This window comes from Homo sapiens, chromosome 6 (assembly GCF_000001405.40).
Source record: "Homo sapiens chromosome 6, GRCh38.p14 Primary Assembly".
In the NCBI taxonomy this organism is placed as follows: Eukaryota; Metazoa; Chordata; class Mammalia; order Primates; family Hominidae; genus Homo; species Homo sapiens.
The window spans coordinates 141,726,759-141,747,207 of record NC_000006.12 but is presented as its reverse complement, the minus strand read 5'-3'; the positions used below and the strand labels follow the sequence as shown (position 1 = coordinate 141,747,207).

Below are 20,449 nucleotides of genomic sequence, written 5' to 3'. Positions count from 1 at the left end.
CTTGGTTTTCAGCTCCATCAGCTCCTTTAAGCACTTCTCTGTATTGGTTATTCTAGTTATACATTCTTCTAAATCTTTTTCAAAGTTTTCAACTTCTTTGCCTTTGGTTTGAATGTCCTCCCGTAGCTCAGAGTAACTTGATCGTCTGAAGCCTTCTTCTCTCAGCTCTTCAAAGTCATTCTCCATCCAGCTTTGTTCCGTTGCTGGTGAGGAACTGCATTCCTTTGGAGGAGGAGAGGTGCTCTGCGTTTTAGAGTTTCCAGTTTTTCTGTTCTGTTTTTTCCCCATCTTTGTGGTTTTATCTACTTTTGGTCTTTGATGATGGTGATGTACAGATGGGTTTTTGGTGTGGATGTCCTTTCTGTTTGTTAGTTTTCCTTCTAACAGACAGCACCCTCAGCTGCAGGTCTGTTGGAGTACCGGGCCGTGTGAGGTGTCAGTGTGCCCCTGCTGCGGGGTGCCTCCCTGTTAGGCTGCTCAGGTGTCAGGGACCCACTTGAGGAGGCAGTCTGCCCGTTCTCAGATCTCCAGCTGCTTGCTGGGAGAACCACTACTCTCTTCAAAGCTGTCAGACAGGGACATTAAGTCTGCAGAGGTTACTGCTGTCTTTTTGTTTGTCTGTGCCCTGCCCCCAGAGGTGGAGCCTACAGAGGCAGGCAGGCCTGCTTGAGCTGTGGTGGGCTCCACCCAGTTGGAGCTTCCTGGCTGCTTTGTTTACCTAAGCAAGCCTGGGCAATGGCGGGCACCCCTCCCCCAGCCTCACTGCCGCCTTGCAGTTTGATCTCAGACTGCTGTGCTAGCAATGAGGGAGACTCCGTGGGCGTAGGACCCTCTGAGCCAGGTGTGGGATATAATCTCGTGGTGTGCCATTTTTTAAGCCCGTCGGAAAAGCACAGTATTCGGGTGGGAGTGACCCGATTTTCCAGGTGCGTCCGTCACCCCTTTCTTTGACTGGGAAAGGGAACTCCCTGACCCCTTGCGCTTCCCAAGTGAGGCAATGCCTCGCCGTGCTTCGGCTCGCGCACGGTGTGTGCACCCACTGACCTGCGCCCACTGTCTGGCACTCCCTAGTGAGATGAACCCGGTACCTCAGAGGGAAATGCAGAAATCACCCGTCTTCTGCGTCGCTCACGCTGGGAGCTGTAGACAGGAGCTATTCCTATTCCGCCATCTTGGCTCCTCTGGTCAACACTTTTAATACATTTACTACATTTAAGCGCACCTAATTCAAAGATCCATATTTATTATTAACAGAGGGAAACTTTGTAACTTTAAAAAAATTTAGCTTTGAAAATGGAGATCTCTGATTTCTAACATAAGAATCTGCCTGATTAAAATAGCAATTGTAAGGATCTGGCTGAATGTGTTTTTGAATAAGAACCTAAATGATACAAAATTGATTGCTTTTGGCCTGCCAAGAGCTTTATCATCTCTCAAGACAGTTGAAGGGCTCTGAGTGCACAAGATTTCCTCTCTCTCATCTCCAAAGTAAATAGAAAATCTCCATAGAAATACATAAATATAGCAAATACATATGTGAGGAAATGTTTTATGTGCTGAAAATAAGATGTAAATAAATTTAATTTTGAAACTTCAGCTTGACCTACAATGTAAATGAACAATTACTAAAGAAAACAACTACAGTATAATGCAGTTTATAGAAATTCAGTTCTAAACTTCCCCAGATTTCCACAGCTTACTCTAAATTTTAAGATTCATCTATCCTATGAATAGAAAATATTTTCTGAGCAAATTACTGTAACTTTCTCTGTTGTTTTACTTATCTATTGCTACTTAGCAAATCACTCTATAACTTTGCAGCTAAAAACACCAATTTATTATGTTTGTTGGGTCTGCATGTTCACTGGACTTGGCAGGTAGTTCAAATTTTTGGTGTCTCAGGAAATCGAGGTCAGATGGTGGCTAGGGCTGCAAATAGCAGAAGGCTCAACTGAATAGTTTTTTCACATGGCTGGCAGTTGAAGCTTCCTGACATCTGGAAGTTCAGCTGGGGCTTTTGGCAGGAACATCTATACTTGGCCTATCAAATGGCTTGGGCTTCTTACGGTTTCACAGCTGGGTTCTGAGAGGGAATATCTGAAAAGCAAGTGTTCCAAGAGGCGCAGTGGAAGTCAGAAGGCTTGTGACCCAGACATGGAAATCACACTGAGTCTCTCCCACCACATTCTATTGGTCAAATCAACTCACAAGCCCAACCCAGTTTCATGGAGAGGGGAAATAGATTCCACTTCCCAATGCAGATGTTGCAAATCAGTTGTGGTCATATATAATAAACCACAGTCAGCCACAAATTATTTGTGTTCCTCATGCATGGAGGACACTTATCTCCTCTCACAGTCCCTAGAAGCTTCATCTATAATATTAAGACCAGACTTGAGGGCCAGCAGCTCATCATCTTAAGCCCAGATATGGATGCAATCCCTCAGGTAGGGTTCTTCAAGTGCAGATCCTTGAACCAGATTACTCTCCACTGTGAGTCATCCTTTCTATTTATAAGAAATGGTCGACTTTTCACAGCTGCGTGTTGAAGGTTCAGGAGCATGTTTTCATTTTGAACTATCTCTGACTCTTTTCAGTCTAAGCTGACAGGCAGTGTTTCTACAAGTAAAACACTCTTAGAAAGGTTGTGAGTTTCCTAAGGATCTTATTGGGATTCACTCTCTTTTATAAAAGCCATTGCCATAAATCTCTGAGACAGTTCTGTGTCTTGGGAGAGAGGGTGCTGTGAGATCATAGCCTTAAAAACTTTTAGAAGACCTTTGGTTTAGCAAAAGTCAAGAGGGCACATAGTTCATATTCTTAGGAGACTTTTAACTAGCTGAGAAGGAATAGAGGGTATACAAGAGTCTCAGAAATTTTTTGGTTAATTGTCATAGTCTAAGAGTGCCTTAAATCTTTCTAAAACCTTAACAAAACATGTTACAGCCACACTTGGATCAGGGATTTATCCAAAACCACATTTTACTGATGACCCCTTGGATTTGATTTTTGTCCTGTAAAACTTGAATTTTTCATAATGTTTTGGTCTCCGGGTAGTCTTATTTATTACATGGCAGCTAACTTCGAAGAGGTGGCACAAGCAGGGGACATCCTAAGAACAAATATTTCAAGAGGCTTGGAGGGAAACTGAAAAACAGTTGGTGACTTACTCTCAGATTTCATACAGCAAATGTGGCATGAAAACTTTTTGGCCTGATTTAAAGTAAAAGAAAACAGAGTAACAATGAATTTATGACCATTTCAATCTATCTCTTTTATAAAAATAAAACTAATAGTTATTACACATTACAAAGCCTTTTAAATGTAAAAAAACCTCTGATTAGATAACAGAAAATGATAAAGTGCATCCATAAATTTAAAATATAAGAATTTAAGAATTTTGAGGAAAGGAAAAATAACACCTCTTGCTTTGGAAATTCTGGATTGTTATGAACGCTTTAGACACTTGCTGAAGCAGTAACTCAGAGAGCAAATGGCAGTTTCGCAGAGAAATAGCTAAATGAACATGGCTGTTAAGTAATAAGGAGTAAGTACATTTGAAGTGATATTAGGCTAGTAAGTGGAATGTGAAAATGCAAACAGTGGTTGCTAATCAAAACAATAATGACAATTATTTTAAAAATTGTAAATTCTATCTATCTATCTGTCTATCTGTGTTGATCTGTCTCTATATATCCTAATATGTGTGAACCCTTGAACAAATTAAATGAGTTTAAACATTTTCTCTTAAAATCAAGTAGGTAAGTTTTCCCTGATTGCATAAAATGTAAAAAAAAAAAAATAGTATTAGCATAATACTATAATTTACAAAGGTAAATAGTATAATTTACAAATAAACTTCAATTTATTTTCTTATCAAATTAATTTAAATTATGTCAATTTCCCCAGTTAAATTTTTGGCTAAGTTTTGTTGGTTGTGGTATTTTTTCCCCACAAATGGTTTAAAGGTATAAAAATGTAAAAATAATGTGAACAATTTAATTAAATATTATTATTTGGTATCTTCCAAAAGCAGTAAGCTCTTATGGACTTCAGGTATTGCTGAACATTATGTAAGTTACTTATTCCACTTAAAATATCTAACTGAAATATTTATGAACACTTACAATAGTAGTAGTAATCTGTGTGTTTTTTGTATGGTGATATGCATCAGATTAAATAAAGTAAATTATTAGATTAAATTACATATCTAAATGGATACATAGGAGAAAATCTAAGTGACCTTAGGTTTGGCAATAAATTTTTAAAACAATACTAAAGGCATTATCCAAGAAGAGAAAAACAACATAACTATTAATATTAATAAATAATGTATTAATCATTAATTATTAACTTGTAATTTATCCATTTATTATATAATAACCATAAAATTTAAATTGGTCTCCTGCCGAAGATGCTATTAAGAGAATCAAAACACAAATCAACAAAGAAAATATTTTCAAACCATGTATCTTATAAGGGACTTTTATCTAAAATCTAAAAAAATAGGACTCTTAAAGCCAACAATTTAAGAACAAAACTAAAAACAATTGAGAATGGGCAAAAAATTTGAACAGATAGCCCACTAGAGAAAATATATAGAGGGCAAATAAGCATATGGAAAAATGTTAAACACTATTGGTCATTAGGGAATTGCAAATCAAAACAACGATGAGATACTACTCACAACAAACTTTTTTCTTCAAATTTTATTTTAAGTTCCTGGATATATGTGCAGGATGTTCAAGTTTGCTACATAGGTAAACGTGTGCCATGGTGGTCTGCTGCACAGATCAACCTATCACCTAGGTATTAAACACAGCATCCATTAGCTATTCTTACTGATGCTCTTCCTCCCCATTCCACCATGACAGGCCCCAGTGTGTGCTGTTCCCCCACATGTATCCGTGTGTTCTCATTGTTCAGTTCCAACTTATAAGTGAGAACATATGATGTTTGACTTTCTGTTCCTGCATTAGTTTGCTGAGGGTAATGGCATCCACCTCCATTCAAGTCCCTGCAAACAACATGATTTCGTTCCTTTTTATGGCTGCATAGTGTTCCATGGTATACTTGTACCACATATTCTTTATCCATCTATAATTGATGGACATATGGGTTGATTCCATGTCTTTGCTATTGTGAATAGTGCTGCAATGAACATATGTGTGCATGTATCTATAACAGGATGATTGGTGTTCCTTCGGGTATATACCCAGTAATGACATTGCAGGGTCAAATGGTATTTCTGCTTCTAGATCTTGGAGGGATCACCACACTTTCTTCCACTGTGATTGAACTAATTTACTCTCCCACCGACAGTGTCAAAGTGTTCTTTTTTCTTTGCAATCTTGCCAGCATCTGTTCTTGCTGGACTTTTTAATAATCACTATTCTGACTGGCATAAGATGGGATCTCATTGTGGTTTTGATTTGCATTTCTCTAATGATCAGTGACGTTGAGCTTTTTTTCATATGGTTGTTGGCCACATGAATTTTTTTTTGAGAAGTGTCTGTTCATGTTCTTTGCCTACTTTTGAATTGGGTTGTTTGGGGTTTTTTTGTGAATTTGTTTAAGCTCTTGTATACTCTGGATATTGGACCTTTGTCAGATGGATAGATTGCAAAAATTTTCTCCCACTCTTCATTCTGTCTCTTCATTCTGATGATAGTTTCTTTTGCTGTGCAGAAGCTCTTTAGTTTAATTAAATCCCATTGTCAATTTTTGCTTTTGTTGCAATTGCTTTTGGCATTTTCAGCATGAAATTTTTGCCTGTGGCTATGTCCTGAATGGTATTGCCTAGATTTTCTTCTAGGGTTTTTTAAGTTTTGGGTTTTACATTTAAGTCTTTAATCCATCTTAAGTTAATTTTGTAAAGGTGTAAGGAAGGAGTCCAGTTTTAATTTTCTGCACATAGCTAGCCAGTTCTCCCACCACCATTTATTAAATAGCAAATCGTTTCCCCATTGCTTTTTTTGTCAGATTCTATAAACATTTTTGAATGGATAAAATTTGAAACAACAGCAACAACAATACCAAGTGCTGGGGAAAATGTGGAGCAATAGAAACTCTCATTCGCTGCTGTTAGGAATGCAAAATGGTTGAACCACTTCGGAAATTTCCTAAAATAGTTTTATCATGTGACACAGCACTTGAGCTTCTAAGTATTTACCCAGTTGATTTGAAAACATAAATCTACACAAAGTACTGCATATAAATATTTATGGCAGCCTTTTTCATAATCATCAAAAGCTGTCAATAACCAAGATATCCTTCAATAGGTGACCGGATTAAAAAAATAATAATAACTGGAATACAGCCATGTAAGGTAAAGTTATTCGGTGACAGAAAAAATAGAGTTTTTAGGACAGAGAAAAACAGGGAAGAACCCCAAATGCTTCTTGCCTCAAAAAAGCCTGAAAATGCTATATACTATATGCTCCTAATTTTATGAAATTCTGAAAAGACAAAACTATCAAGACAGTAAACAGATAACAGTGGTTGCCAGGGGTTCGGATGAAGTGGGAGAGAATAAATAGATGAAGAATGAGAGTTTTCACACAGTGAAACTATTCTGTGTGTCGCTAGATACATGGCATTATGCATTTGTTAAAACCCATAGAGTTTTAGAGCACAAAGGTGAACCTTAATATATGCAAGTTTTAAAACATCATTTAGGAGGTCAGGGGATTCCAGGAAGGAATGCAGACTGTGATGAGTAAATTTATCTGTATCACACATGTATGTACCAACCTCATTGAATGGGATATGGAGAAAAGTGATGACCTAAGTCAGTCTGGAAATGACTGGGGTCTGTAGGACTAAAGAGAAAAGAAATTGCACAAACGTGTATTCTAGCTGACATTTTTTCCATGGAGCTAAAGGTTAATAGTTCTGATATTGCTTCACATATATGTATACTGCAGTTGAACAATTAACCAAATGAATGGCAGATGGTTGCATTCAGGTTTCTAACTGTTGGAGTGGGAATCCACAGATAAGGGGAACAATCTCGAGTGAACCATGTGACAATAGATCAGAGTTGGAACAGCTGTATGAACTCATGTTTAGCTTAACACAAATAGATATCATTACATACAGAAATACTTATAGACTTGTGCCTATACACAGGTTTTTAAACACACAGACGTAACATTGATTTGTCAGCTAAGAGAGCATACAATAAAAGATACCTGATTATCAAGGAGCACACCTAGATCCTAGATCTTGCTTTCTAATACTGTTTTCCAATTAAAAGAACCAAGACTCCTTGGAGAAGCGACTGCATCTAGGACTGGGATAGGAAATATACAAGATGAGTCTGAAGCATCTCGTAATTTATAAGGAGGTGCTAAAAATCCCAATATAATAGGGGCATGTAGGAACGATACAGGAGCAAATTGAAAGAGCTCCCAATGGCCAAAGTTGGAACAATTTGAGCAACAAAATAAATAACAAAAGTAGTACCGGATTATAATCCAAAGCATAAAATACATATCTATTATTCTATACCTATACAAATAAATGAGTAAATAAATATATGAATGGGGGAAAAGAGGTAAACACACATGCATAAGAATTCTTCATAATTTGTATAGATACTCCACCCTTAAGGAAGGACAGCATAACTACCCACTTCATAATTGGAAGCTGCACATAGTAACTTTCTTCCAAAAAATACAGCATGAAATGAGGAAAAAAGAATAACTTCACAGTGGAGAAATCTGATAAACACTAGCTTAGTTAGGTCGTCAAGGCCAACACCAACAGAGGTATGTCAGGTTGATAGAATGTATCTTTGATTTGATGTGATAAACATGGTGGTCTTTTTCTCTGTCATCTTCCTCTCAATAACTCGTAACCACAATTTTATTATAAGAAAAGCATCAGACACATTCCAAACTGGAGCGTCTTACACAATATACCTGACCTGTACTCCTCATATCTGTTGAGGTCATAAAAATAATAAAAGTCCGAGAAACTGCCACAGCAAAAAGGAGCCTAAGGAGACAGAATGAGCAAATATAATGTAGTGCCCTGAATGGGATGCTGGAGACACACACACAAACAGTCAAACACACACACACACACACACACACACACACACACACACACACAGCATTAGGCAAAAAGTACGGAACTCTAAATAAATTATGGATTATAGTAAATAACAGTATATTAATACTGCTTTGTTAATTATCACAATTGTAACATACCAGTGTAAGATGTTAAGGAGAAACTGGGTATGAGGTATTTGGGAACTCTCTGTACCATCCTCTCAACTCGTATATACATATCGAAATGTCCTAAAACGTAAAGTCTATTAATTTTTTTTTTAAAAAAGGACATGTATGCCTATGGAAGGATTGCCTTACAGGAGATATGTGGATTTGCTAAGGTACAAGTGGATGACAGTTCACCTTTAATTACTTCCACAGTTTTTCAGTGTCTTAATGGGAACAAAATTTGTATACCTAGGTTCACTACGCTAGGTATAATAATTTTAAAGAAACATGAATGTATACATAAGATAATGGATGTATTTTATTTGTTGAAATATTTTGTTCATATAAATAAGTTCTGTCTTAAAAAAAAGTCCTGTTGTGCCAGATTGTGAATATGTATATAACATATATAATATATACATAATACACATATATAATTATATGTAATACATATATAATCACAAATCTGAAAGACAAATTTTAAAAGAAATATATTAAAGGCCGAAAAGGTGGGCAAATTTTTATAGATTGTGAATAATGCAAAATTTTATGCAGGTTCTATGCAAAAAAGTGAAATAATTTTTTTCTTGCCTTTAAAAAGACAAATATATCCTGCTGTTTACATGAAAATGCAAAAATAAAAAGGTATTCGATGATTAGATGGATGAGGTTCCTAATAATGCCCAAATGCCCTCACTTTAAAGCCTGTTACTTTATGTACCTCTTTTTTCATTTTTTAAATTATTAACAAGTATTTTTCACTTTTGAAAGGATAGATTTTCTAATAATTATTACTTCTTGTGTTCACCTTAAGTATTGTCACTTTACATCAAAATTGAAACCATTTATTCTCTTTAGATACTAAAGATTATTATCTTGTCTTGTATTTTCTAACACATGTTTTTGATATGGGTTTTCTTAAATCAAATTTAAGAACTCATTTCTAAATAATAAAACTGTTAGACTTCTTTATACCCAGAATACCTTTGAGATTTCCTAGAAAAGTAATTGATCCCAAGTTCTTTTCCCTCATATAACTACAGAAGGGATACAAAAAGTTTATGTATTATTGATAGTCTCTGTATTGTATTTTTAATTAGCTTACAATATACAGACAACTGTACTGGTTTTAAACCCTTCATTATGGAAAGTATTGACAAACCAAAAGGAGAAATTAAAACAGTTTCTCTCACTTGAACCTGGGAGACGGAGGTTGCAGTGAGCCGAGATCGCGCCACTGCACTCCAGCCTGGGTGACAGAGTGAGACTCTGTCTTAAAATAAATAAATAAATAAATAAAAATAAAAACCAAAAACAGGTTCTCTAGGTTAAAAAGATATTAGGGGCATGTTAAAAAATATTTCAGGGTTTGTGTCCCTTTCAAGACGGAAAAAAGCACAATCATGCTCATGTATATAGAATGTCAGTAACTGCCATCAAGTTGATTTATAAGAGTATTTTGTAATCTCTCGTCAATTCATGACCAGCACAACAAACACTTTCTTAGATGAATTAGATGTTTCTGGAGATTTGTCAATACTTCACTGTTCACAATATTTTCTTACTGTCAGGATTGTCATTGATTTAATCGTTATGAACTGAACATTATCTCAGTAAAGCATTCCATTCTCCTTCATTCTGAAATTGCAGTATCTTGCATTAAATTAACCAGAATCTTATAATCTGATTATTGACAGATAGTTTCTTCACTTCCCTTACCCTTGTTTACAGGCTGCTGTATAACTATTCTGAAAAAAGGTCAAAAGAATAACTCAGTACATAACACTCACAGTTAGTTTTTACAATTAATATTTCAGGGCATACACCCATGGACAGGCTTCTCAAGTTCAAACAGATATTTTCACTATAAAGAGATCCTTTTCATCTTGTGAAACTGAGTTAAGATTTCCAAAGCTCTCTTATCCTAGTAGCTGACAACTTCATGCATGAATATTCTTAACTACACCAAGATAATCACAACAATAATTAATTTCTTAGGAGCTAATAAAGTGGATTTATTATGGCCAAAGTTCTGTTTTCTAATGGACATAGAGAAACATCCTTTTCTTTTCTACCTTAGCTATAATAAACGTAACAGGTTATATTTGTATAAACTTTAATGAAACCTTATCTAGTTTCTTATTCAAGTTGGCCCTACACGATCCAGAAAATATAGCTTATAAAAATTCTTAAGTATAAGATACTAAATCATTAGGAAAGGTTAAAGGTAATGGATCTACCGAGAGTAGAAATATAGACATACAGATTGAATAGACTTACCTTGCCTACAAAATTACTCAGAACTATTGTTATATATGGAACAAAGCATACTGACAAGGTTCCTCACTATTCATGACCATGTGGTTATTTACAAAGTTTATTAAGAACTCATGTTTTAGTTAGGACTGTACTTCATTTGTGTATTTGATGCCTAAGTGGTCTCTCACAAATTAGCATAGCATGTATTCTATAGCTAACGGAAATCTATCCTTATGTGCTGTAACAAATGTTTCTTCCTCACAGATCAAGTATATTCAAACATGTGCTGATTTTACAAATAAATAACTGGTTAAATAAAAGATACCCTTGGATTGATATGTCCTGCTGGCCACCCCGGTAGAAATGAATCATATCATTATTTTCCTAGCCTCAAAGTGGTCAGGATGAGATCATAAGGGCAATAAAACCTATTTCTGGCTATAGGTGTGATTGAATTGCGATTCTGTAATAGGTGCTTTGGAGTACAGTACCTAAAGGAACATTAATTCTTAAGCCTTAGGATAATCAAGTATTGTACTCACAGTTTTGTTAACCATAACATGGCGTTTTTATATATTAATTAATGTATCTTGTGGCAATCATGGTAAAGGAGAAACACAAAGCATAAAATTTCCAACATTAAACAGAAAATTACTTAGTATAATTAAATGCTGAAATCATGCTTTAGAGGAACCTAAATACAAGGATAAAATGAAATAGCAGATTGACACTGTGCCTTGCTGCCATAATTGGTAAACATGTACATTACATCCACCTGTCAAAAGCAAAAGCAAAAGCAAATAACAAATAAAATTTTGAAAACTCACGTTATGCCTTGAGATAAACAATTGTAAAAACAGCAACTAAACAAAAACAACAGGTTTTTCTCATACCTGGAAAAATAAAAGAGTGGTACCCAGTATTTCAACTATCAAATGGTAAGTATTGCTAATATTTTTCAAAATGGTATATTATCTCCCTAAAAATTTTTCCTCTATGACTTTACCAGGCTTTTCTCTATTTATGTGAAATCTTTCCTCTTCTACAAAGAAGTTGGCAGCTTCTCTTTAATGCTTCCAGTGTATCTTGTGCATACCTTTATTAACATGATCAGCATTGTTATGTAAACTCCAGCTTCTCAGTTTCCCTCATTTGATTATTAACTTCTTGACAATTATACCTTATTAACATATGTGTTCAGTGAGTGACATCATATATAGCTCTCAATAGATGTTTGTTGAATTATCCATTGGTAGATTTATAAAAATAATCTTTTATTTCTCAATTGTTCAGAATATCTTGTTTATTCATATAGAACATATGATAGTCACTGACACCATCTAAGAGGTCTTTCTACTCACAGTGTTATTACATATACTTTTCTCAAATTGTTTACCTAAGCAAAATAAATTCATAAGATGGACTCTGTGATAGATGATAAATTATTGCCTTTTATCCACTTGAAAACATAACTGAATGATAAAATATTCCTTTTCAAGAGAGAATGCAGATTTCTATATAAGACTGTTTATGTTTTCAGATGAGGAACACACTGGAATTTTATTTGACTTAATTTGTTTAAGCTTGGATACATTTAATTATGCATCTGTGGTTTAATTATCATTAGGAAGTTAAAGAACTTGCAGTAGTATTGTCTTGCAACAAAAGTATAATTGAGAAATGAATGGTAAAATACCCTAGAAAATCTTCACTGCGAGGATTCCAGGATGTGCACTTAAAAATGGCATAGATTGGGCTGAGGAACAATAAAAAGCAAACAAATAAAACTTCAGGTGACTGCTGAGAAGTTGTTGTCTTCCAAAACCAGTGCTTTAGAGCACTGGTTTTTGAAATTGTATCAAAACTGGAATTGTAGCAAACAAATTTCCAGTACACTCTGAAACAGTTAATTATTTATACAATTCATAAAATAAATATCAGTAAAACTTCAATTAATGCATATGTCCAGGTTTCATGTAAAGTAAATGACATTTGGTTGCCTAATTAAATCTTTTACCCATTTACCTATTAAGTGGAGTACAAAAACTGCACTGTATACTCTATGAGTATATTAAGAGGAAGTGGAAGTGAATGTAAGCTTGCTTTTCACTCTTCTGATAAAATGTTATGCTTACTAAATAATCTATGAACTCTTTAATATTTGCTTTGCATATGCCATTTCCGCCACCTGAACTGTCTCCTTCTCCCATTCTATTCCCCCTAATATCTTTTGCTGCTCCAATGCCAATTAACAAAATCCTACTTTATCCCTCAAGTTTTGGCTCAGACATTTGTAACTCAAGCATAGTGTCAAACAAGCCTATAATCTATATTCTGCTGCAAGATTATTATGCATTCTGAGGGTTTTTATTCTCCTGTCCCTGGGGTATCTTGATCTCACTTGTTTCTCACTGTCTGGCTGTGGTATTTTCTTTCAGCCATCCCACGCTGTCCCATATTCTTGATTTACACACACACACACACCCCTTTATACTGATATATTATTAGACATTTCCTTATTACATTTTTTTCACCTATTATGTACCAGAGCTTCAGTCTGTTAATATATTGCCACTCTTAAATTTTATTTTATTATTTTATTAATTTGAGACAGGTCTCACTCTGTTGCCTAGGCTGCAGTGCAGTGGCATGATCATAGCTCAGTATAGTCTTCATCTCCTAGGCTGGAGTGATCCTCCTGCCTCAGACTCTCAAGTAGCTGGGACCACAGATGTGTGCCACTACACCTGGCTAATTTTTTACTTTTTTAAAGGGATAAGGTCTCACAGTGTTGCCCAAGCTCATCTTAAAGTCCTGGCCTCAAGCAATCTTCCTGCCTCAGCCTCCAAAAGTATTGGGATTACAGGCGTGAACCATTGTGCCTGATCTCAGTAGCCACTCTTACTTGCTCCTGCTACTTGCTAGCAATTACAAAATCATTATATTCTTGTATTTTTGGTACCCAGAATGGAGGAAGTGTTTTATTCATGATGCATCTCAAACATCCTTCACAGTGCCTCATACAACAAATCAAAAATCCTAGCTGAATAAACACATATGTGTGTCTCTAAATCACAGGTTTTCCTAGAAGCCATTTGTGGAAAATAAAAATTTAGTATGATTCATTTTATTATATTTTTCTTGAATATAAATAAATAATGATGCAAAGCTCCAAGTTACTGGTATTTTTCTCGCATTTAGTTTTAATCTCCCAATGTACAAATTATCCTCTAGAAAAATAGTGTAGCATTGGAAGTCTAAGAATGCTTTAATAACCTTTAATATCAGTGATTTTTTACATTAATTCAATGATCTGCTTTATAATACCTAGGCTGACTATAATCTTACACAGCTGGAAAATACTTTTTCCCCATTGTACATTCAGAGAGCATCTGTCCAGCTTGTATTTTACAAGTTCATACCTATGGAGGTTTATCTAGACTCTATGGATATTACTCTTCAAAATATCAGTGAAAAAATAAATATTTAATGAAACAATAGGTTCTGTATTCTTTAAGTTTAGAGGAAAAGTGCTGAAGGAATTGTAACTGTAATAATGACTGATAAAATAGGTTGAGATGAACTATAAACTCTTTGCACATTGAATATTTTTAAAGAAAATAAGCCCAATATTCTACAAAAAAGGTGATCACAGAACAAAAATAATGAGGCAAATTGTTATTTAGTTTTCTGCTGTCCCATCTATAGCTGTCATATTTTACACTGGTGTTTCTTAACTCTTTGCCAGACTTCAGAGTCCACAGTTTATCAAGGTTTATCATGATATTTACATAAAGACATAGTATTACATTCCCACATCACTGTGAGTAAAGAAAGCTTCATTTTAATTCAAAATACATAAACAGGCAATATCTATTTTCAAATCTCTTTTAGCTCTGATGCTGACAGTTGCAAATTTATGGGATTCATAGTACCTCTAATGTGGGTAAAATACCTTCTTTTAAAGATTTCTCAGAAAAATTAGGACTAGTTTATATGAAAATAAAAAACTGGCAGAGCTTGTGATTGGCCACCTGATCTGCCCTTTCTGTGCCCTTTTAGTCTCTTTCTCTCAGAAGTGCTGTCATCAGCTCCTTCTGTCATATATTTATGTATATATATTTACATTTTAAATTTTGATAACTTAGAATAGAGAATGTGGATATTGTGCAGAGACCGACAATGATGAGCTGATAAGAAAAATTTATCTGAAGAAAAGTGACTTTCTCACTCCAGGTCTTATTCTGGAAATTGAGAAAAGAAAAGGAGGATCATACAGTGAAACACTACCCAATAGGAAATTACTTCTGGAAAAAAAAAAATCAACATATTTATCACAAAATAAATACATCTTATTATAAAATGGAAAATTTTGAATGAATAGGGAGCAAATAAATTAGTCCAAATGCCAACTGGCTTAAAAGCAAAGACCTTGAGTGAATATGACTAATTATATATACAATTAAAATTCATATTTGTGAGCTATACTTCATTTATGATATTATAGATTGGATTCATATCGCTATGAAATTTTAGATTTTAAAAGATTATTTTGCCAACATTTAAAATACATATTTGTTAAATATGTAGTACTTAAAACATGATTTATCAAGTATGTATCTTCTTATAATTGCTTCTTTTTTATTCTTATTCTATGTTTATGGCCATTTTGCAATTTATCTATTCTAAGCTAATTATTACACATGCAATATTTTACCATTTGGATTATTTTATTAAAATTTATTCTGAAAATAAGATTACTAGTGGAAATTATATGAATATTTTTCATGGCTTGCTGTCCTTTAAAGTTGCTAATGTAATTTTTGTGATGTTTTTGTTTACCAATTGGAGTCAGACAATTCAACAAATAAATCTTAAAAAAAACAAAACGAAACAAAACCTTGTGTAGGTGAACAATTTCTGAGCTCCCTCCCCTCCCTATATTAGTTTAAATATTTTAAGCAAGCCCGGAGTCACAGAAGTTTCCACCACAAAGATAGCCTATGCAGATCACAGGCATCTTCGACAGAGGATGTTTTCAGAAAAACCAAAATAAGACTCCAATAAGTATAATAAAGTCCTGCAGCTATCAATTATCTTTGTACAAAAGTTTCTAAGTCTCCTTATAAATAATAGTGCACCTCAGAATAAAATTCTTAGGTATAACTTCTACAAAATATATTCAAGACCTATAAGTAAAACTATAAAATCTGGAAAAGACATTTTAAAAACTAAGAAAATAAAGAGATATTCCATGTTCATGAGTAGTAAGACTCAATATTGTCAAGACATCAGTCTTGCTAAGTTGGTCTATAGATTCTCAATATGGATCTATAAATTTCATGCAATCCAAATCCAGTAAGTTATTTTATAAATATCAACTGATTCTAAAGTTTTTGTAAAGAGGCAAGTGACCCAGAATAGCAAACATGAAATGTTAACAATCTAATTTTGTTGAAGATTTTAGCATGTATGTATATGAAAGATGGTGGTTTTTGGTTTTCTTGTAATGTGTTTTTCTGATTTTGGTATTAGCACAATATTGCCTTATAGACTGATTTAGGAAATATTTCTTCTGAAATCACTGGTAGAATTCACTGGTAAACCCATCAGGGCCACATGCTGTTTTAGAAACTTATTAATTAATGATTCATTTTATTTAATATATATAGGCCTGTTCACATTGTCTATTTCTTGTTGTATACATTTTGACACATTGTGCCTTTAATGAAATTAGTCAATTTTATCTAATTTACCATATTTGGGACATAGAGTTGTTCATATTATTCCTTTATTTCCTTTTATTGTTCTTGGGACCTGTAGTGATATCCCCTCTTTCATTTCTGATATTAGTAATTTGTTTATCCTTTTTATTTTCCATAGTTAGCTGGTTAGTTGCTTATTGATTTTATTATTTAAGAAAAAAGCAAGGTTTTGTTTTTGTTGATTTCTCTGTTTAGTTCCTGTGTTTTATTTCATCGATTTCTGCTCTAATTCTTATTATTTCATTTTTTTTTCAGTTTACTTTGGATTTAATTTGCTTGTCTTTTTCTATTTTTCTAAGGTGAGAAGTGTATTACTCATTTTACGTCTTTATTTATTTATAACATATGCACTGAAAGCTATAAATCTACCTTTAAACATTACTTTGGCTGCAGTCCATAGATTTTAGTAAGTTGTATTTTTTATTTTCATTTAATTCAAATTATTTCTAAATTTCTCTTGACAGTTATTTTTTGATACACGTGTTATTTAAAAGTGTGTTGTTCACACACTGGGGCCTGCAGGGGTTGGGTAAGGGGAGAGAGAACATCAGGAAGAATAGCTAATGCATGCTGCACTTAACATCTAGGTGATGGGTTGATGGGTACAGCCATCCACCGTGGCACCCATTTACCTATGTAACAAATCTGCATATCCTGCACATGTATCCTGAAACTTAAAATAAAATAAAATTTAAAAAGTTAATTAATAAAATGTGTTGTTTAATCTCAAAGTATTTTGAGATTTCCTAGCTCTTTCTGTTATTGGTTTCTAGGTCGATTCCCATGTTTAATTCTGTCATTAATTTCCTTGTTTCCCAGGTAGATTCACATAGAAAATCTATTTCTGAAATTTAATATGGTAATTAAGGATGTTAACTGAGATATGGAGAGCTGAAACACTGGAAGTAACCAGCTCTGGTTACAGCATTTGCAATGTCATATGATCAGTCCTGGAGCTGTCAAAGAAAAGTTACAGTGGACAGAATTAAACAGAGAACGAGTTCATTGAAGACTATTCCAATAGGGGTGAAGACTAGTATTATAGAAAAGGGGAGAGAAACTGAACACCACTGAAACCAAGGTGGAGAGTTTTTGTTTTTTGTTTTGTTTTGTTTCTTGAGACAGAGTTTCTGCTCTTGTTGCCCAGGCTGGAGTGCAATGGCGCGATCTCAGGTCCCGGGTTCTGCAAATTCCACCTCCCAGGTTCAAGTGATTGTCCTGCTTCAGCCTCCCGAGTGCTGGGTTACAGGCATGCGCCAGCACGCCTATCTAATTTTGTATTTTTAGTAGAGACGGGGTTTCTCCATGTTGGTCAGGCTGGTCTGGAACTTCCGACCTCAGGTGATCCACCCGGCTCGGCCTCCCAAAGTGCTGGGACCACAGGCGTGAGCCACCGCGCTGGCCAGTGGAGAATTTTTAAGCATAGAGGTGAGCTAATGGGAAAAGTATTGGATGAACTTAGTCGGGGGGTTGGTCATCTGCATTTGTTAATTAGAGCTTATTAAAATTAGGTTCCTACCCTCCCACAGAGACTGGAAGATAAGGGCACTTTCTTGATGATTACATTTCGAAAGGATGGCTCCCAGGTCCTTGAGAAATTTATTTCTGGTTGTGAAACTGTCAAGAGGCTGTAAGAAGATTCACAACTTAAAGAGGCAGAGAAAGAATATACAATTACAAGTTTTTTAAAGTAAATGTCAGAAAAGGGACATTAGGGGCCTATAGTCAGGAAGAAACCTTTCAAAAATTTCATCAAGTTGAGAGGAATGTTAAGACTGTCTTGTCAGGGTAAATTCCAGATACATAAAAACTGTCTCCATAAATTGTATGTCTTAGATAGCAAACACATATATAAGCCCCACTGATATTTTATCAGCCTATGCAGATATGTTTTAAAAAATTACTAACATTTTAACTTAGTGCTTGGCAAAAAAAGAAAAATCTGACTATTTCCTTGGCTAAACCTACCTACAGTTTTGCCTCACACTTCTTTGGTAGTTTGGTTTGATATAATTCTAGGTTCAAACTCATATTTTTTTTAAAGTATGAAGAATTTGCTCTATTTGTTTATAACATATATAATGGCTGTTAAGAACTCTGACCTGATTTTTTTAAAGGAGCAGTTTCTTCTTTATTTGTTTTTATTTGCTTTATGTGTAATGTCTAAAACTCACGGTGATGTGGCTGACTTTTATTTATATATTCTGCTCAGCATTCAGGGAACACTTTCAGTATGAAAAATCCCATTTCTTTAAAATTTTTATGGTTTTCTATTCTCAGTTTTAAAGTTTCTCTTTTTGTGGATAGTGTGAAGCAGAAGAATAGGGTCTGGAGGCAGGGAACATAAGGCCGATTCATGCTGACTTCCTAGAACTAAATCAAATGGAAACACTGCCTGCATCTATGACAGGAAATATCTACATAGGGCGTACACCAAGTAAATGATTTTGTAACTTTACTTCATCGTCTTCATTTACATATGGCATACACCAGGTATCCAGTGGAAACCTCTAGAGGGTGTTTAAACTGCAGAAAATTCTGTAATGGGGCTCTTGAGCCCCTATTCTTGGCCCACTCCCATCGTGTGGAGTGTGCTTTCATTTTCAGTAAATCTTTGCTTTTGTTGTTTCCTTCTTTCCTTGCTTTGTTTGTGCATTTTGTCCAATTCTTTGTTCAAGACACCAAGAATCCGGACACCCTCCACTGGTAACAAGTGAACCTCTTTATTTTATATGTTTTTGTTTTTCTCACATTTTCTTTCTGCCTTTTAAAGCAATGTATTGAAAATTTGCATGAATTTATCATACAAATTAATTAGTCAACAACATACTGTTTTATGACTGCAATATACATATAAGTCACACCAACTCTGCAGATTAAGTGTGTTTTTTTAATATTCCCTAGTTTGTTGAATTATTCTTTTATCTCCTGCAATAATGTTTCCTGTTATTTTATTCTGGTCTCTTTACATGGTCATTCTTCTCATCTTTTTGTGTTGACTTCGTTGTTCATTCATATTTTATAATTAAGAACTGGTTTGGATAATTCATGTTTCTAAAGTTGTTTTTCTGAGCAGCCCCTCCCAGACATAAGGAAGCTCTCTGGGCATGTACATGCGGGATAGGACCTTGACACAAAGAATGCAAGGTGTTATAGACTGAATTGTGCCCTCTTCCTAATTCATATGTTGAAATCCTAATGCCTAGTATCTCAGAATGTGGCTGAATTTGGAAATAGGATCTTTACAGGTGTAATCAAGTTACAATGAATTCATTAGGATGGGCCCTAATTCAATATGACTGGAGTCCTTAAAAGAAGAGGAAATTTGAACACAAACATATGCAAAAGCAAGGCCATGTGAAGATATAGGAAGACAGGGATCTGCAAACCTCAGAGGAAGTCTTCAGTAGAAATCAACCCTGCTGACATCTTGATCTCAGACTTTTTGCCTCCAGAATAATGAGAAAATAAATTCCTGATAGCTCTAAAAATAATGATTAATTCTACAAATTTGAAATTATGCAAGTAACATTTGCCATATAAATATGCAGTATGATTAAAAACCAATTACAAAAAGTAAAGTCTACCTAACTGGAGATAAGAATCCTTTAAAAAATAAATCTTGAGTCAAAAGAAATATACAAATCAAAATTATAGAATTTCTAGAAAGAAATGCTTATAGAAACTATGTTCACATTTTTAGGAAATAGTTGAAAGAAAATAAAAGCCATAAACATACAATTTAAAAGGTAAGACAATAGACAAAGACATTAAAAAGTCAAAATAAGAAAACTAAGAAATACAAGTGGAAAAGTCAATAAATTAGAATAGAAAAAAAAAGTTTTTTTTTTAAATCCAAGTTATTTAAATATAATGACAAAGGTGACAACCCAGTAACTAGAAAACAGAAGGAATGAAAAATGGAGAAAGAATATTCAAAATAAGAAGTGGTAAGAAGAAAATAACCAAACCTCAAATAGAGAGGTTTTTGATGTTTGTAAGAAACCACTTTTGCAACTGTGTGCCAAAGAAATTTGAAGCCTAGAGGAAATGGATAATTTTCTAGGAAAAATATAAGTTACCAAAACTGATCCCAGCACAGAATTGTAAACAGCCTAGTTTTTACAGAGCCTATCATTAAAGACCTGCCCCCAAATAAGCACTTGGCTTCGGTGAGGATTCAAAGACCAGATAATCCCA

The 20,449-nt window shown here is 34.5% G+C and overlaps 3 annotated features.

Moving 5' to 3' along the window:
* Nucleotides 299-868: an enhancer, noted in NCBI's record as "H3K27ac-H3K4me1 hESC enhancer chr6:142067477-142068046 (GRCh37/hg19 assembly coordinates)". NCBI's record gives its function as "activates a minimal SCP1, AML or CMV promoter by ChIP-STARR-seq in primed H9 embryonic stem cells {active_cell/tissue: H9 hESC(primed)}" and the evidence as "EXISTENCE:reporter gene assay evidence [ECO:0000049][PMID:30033119]".
* Nucleotides 869-1,439: an enhancer, noted in NCBI's record as "H3K27ac-H3K4me1 hESC enhancer chr6:142066906-142067476 (GRCh37/hg19 assembly coordinates)". NCBI's record gives its function as "activates a minimal SCP1, AML or CMV promoter by ChIP-STARR-seq in primed H9 embryonic stem cells {active_cell/tissue: H9 hESC(primed)}" and the evidence as "EXISTENCE:reporter gene assay evidence [ECO:0000049][PMID:30033119]".
* Nucleotides 18,609-18,809: a silencer, noted in NCBI's record as "peak6163 fragment used in MPRA reporter construct". NCBI's record gives its function as "represses an SCP1 promoter by STARR-seq MPRAs in K562 erythroleukemia cells {active_cell/tissue: K562}" and the evidence as "EXISTENCE:reporter gene assay evidence [ECO:0000049][PMID:32103011]".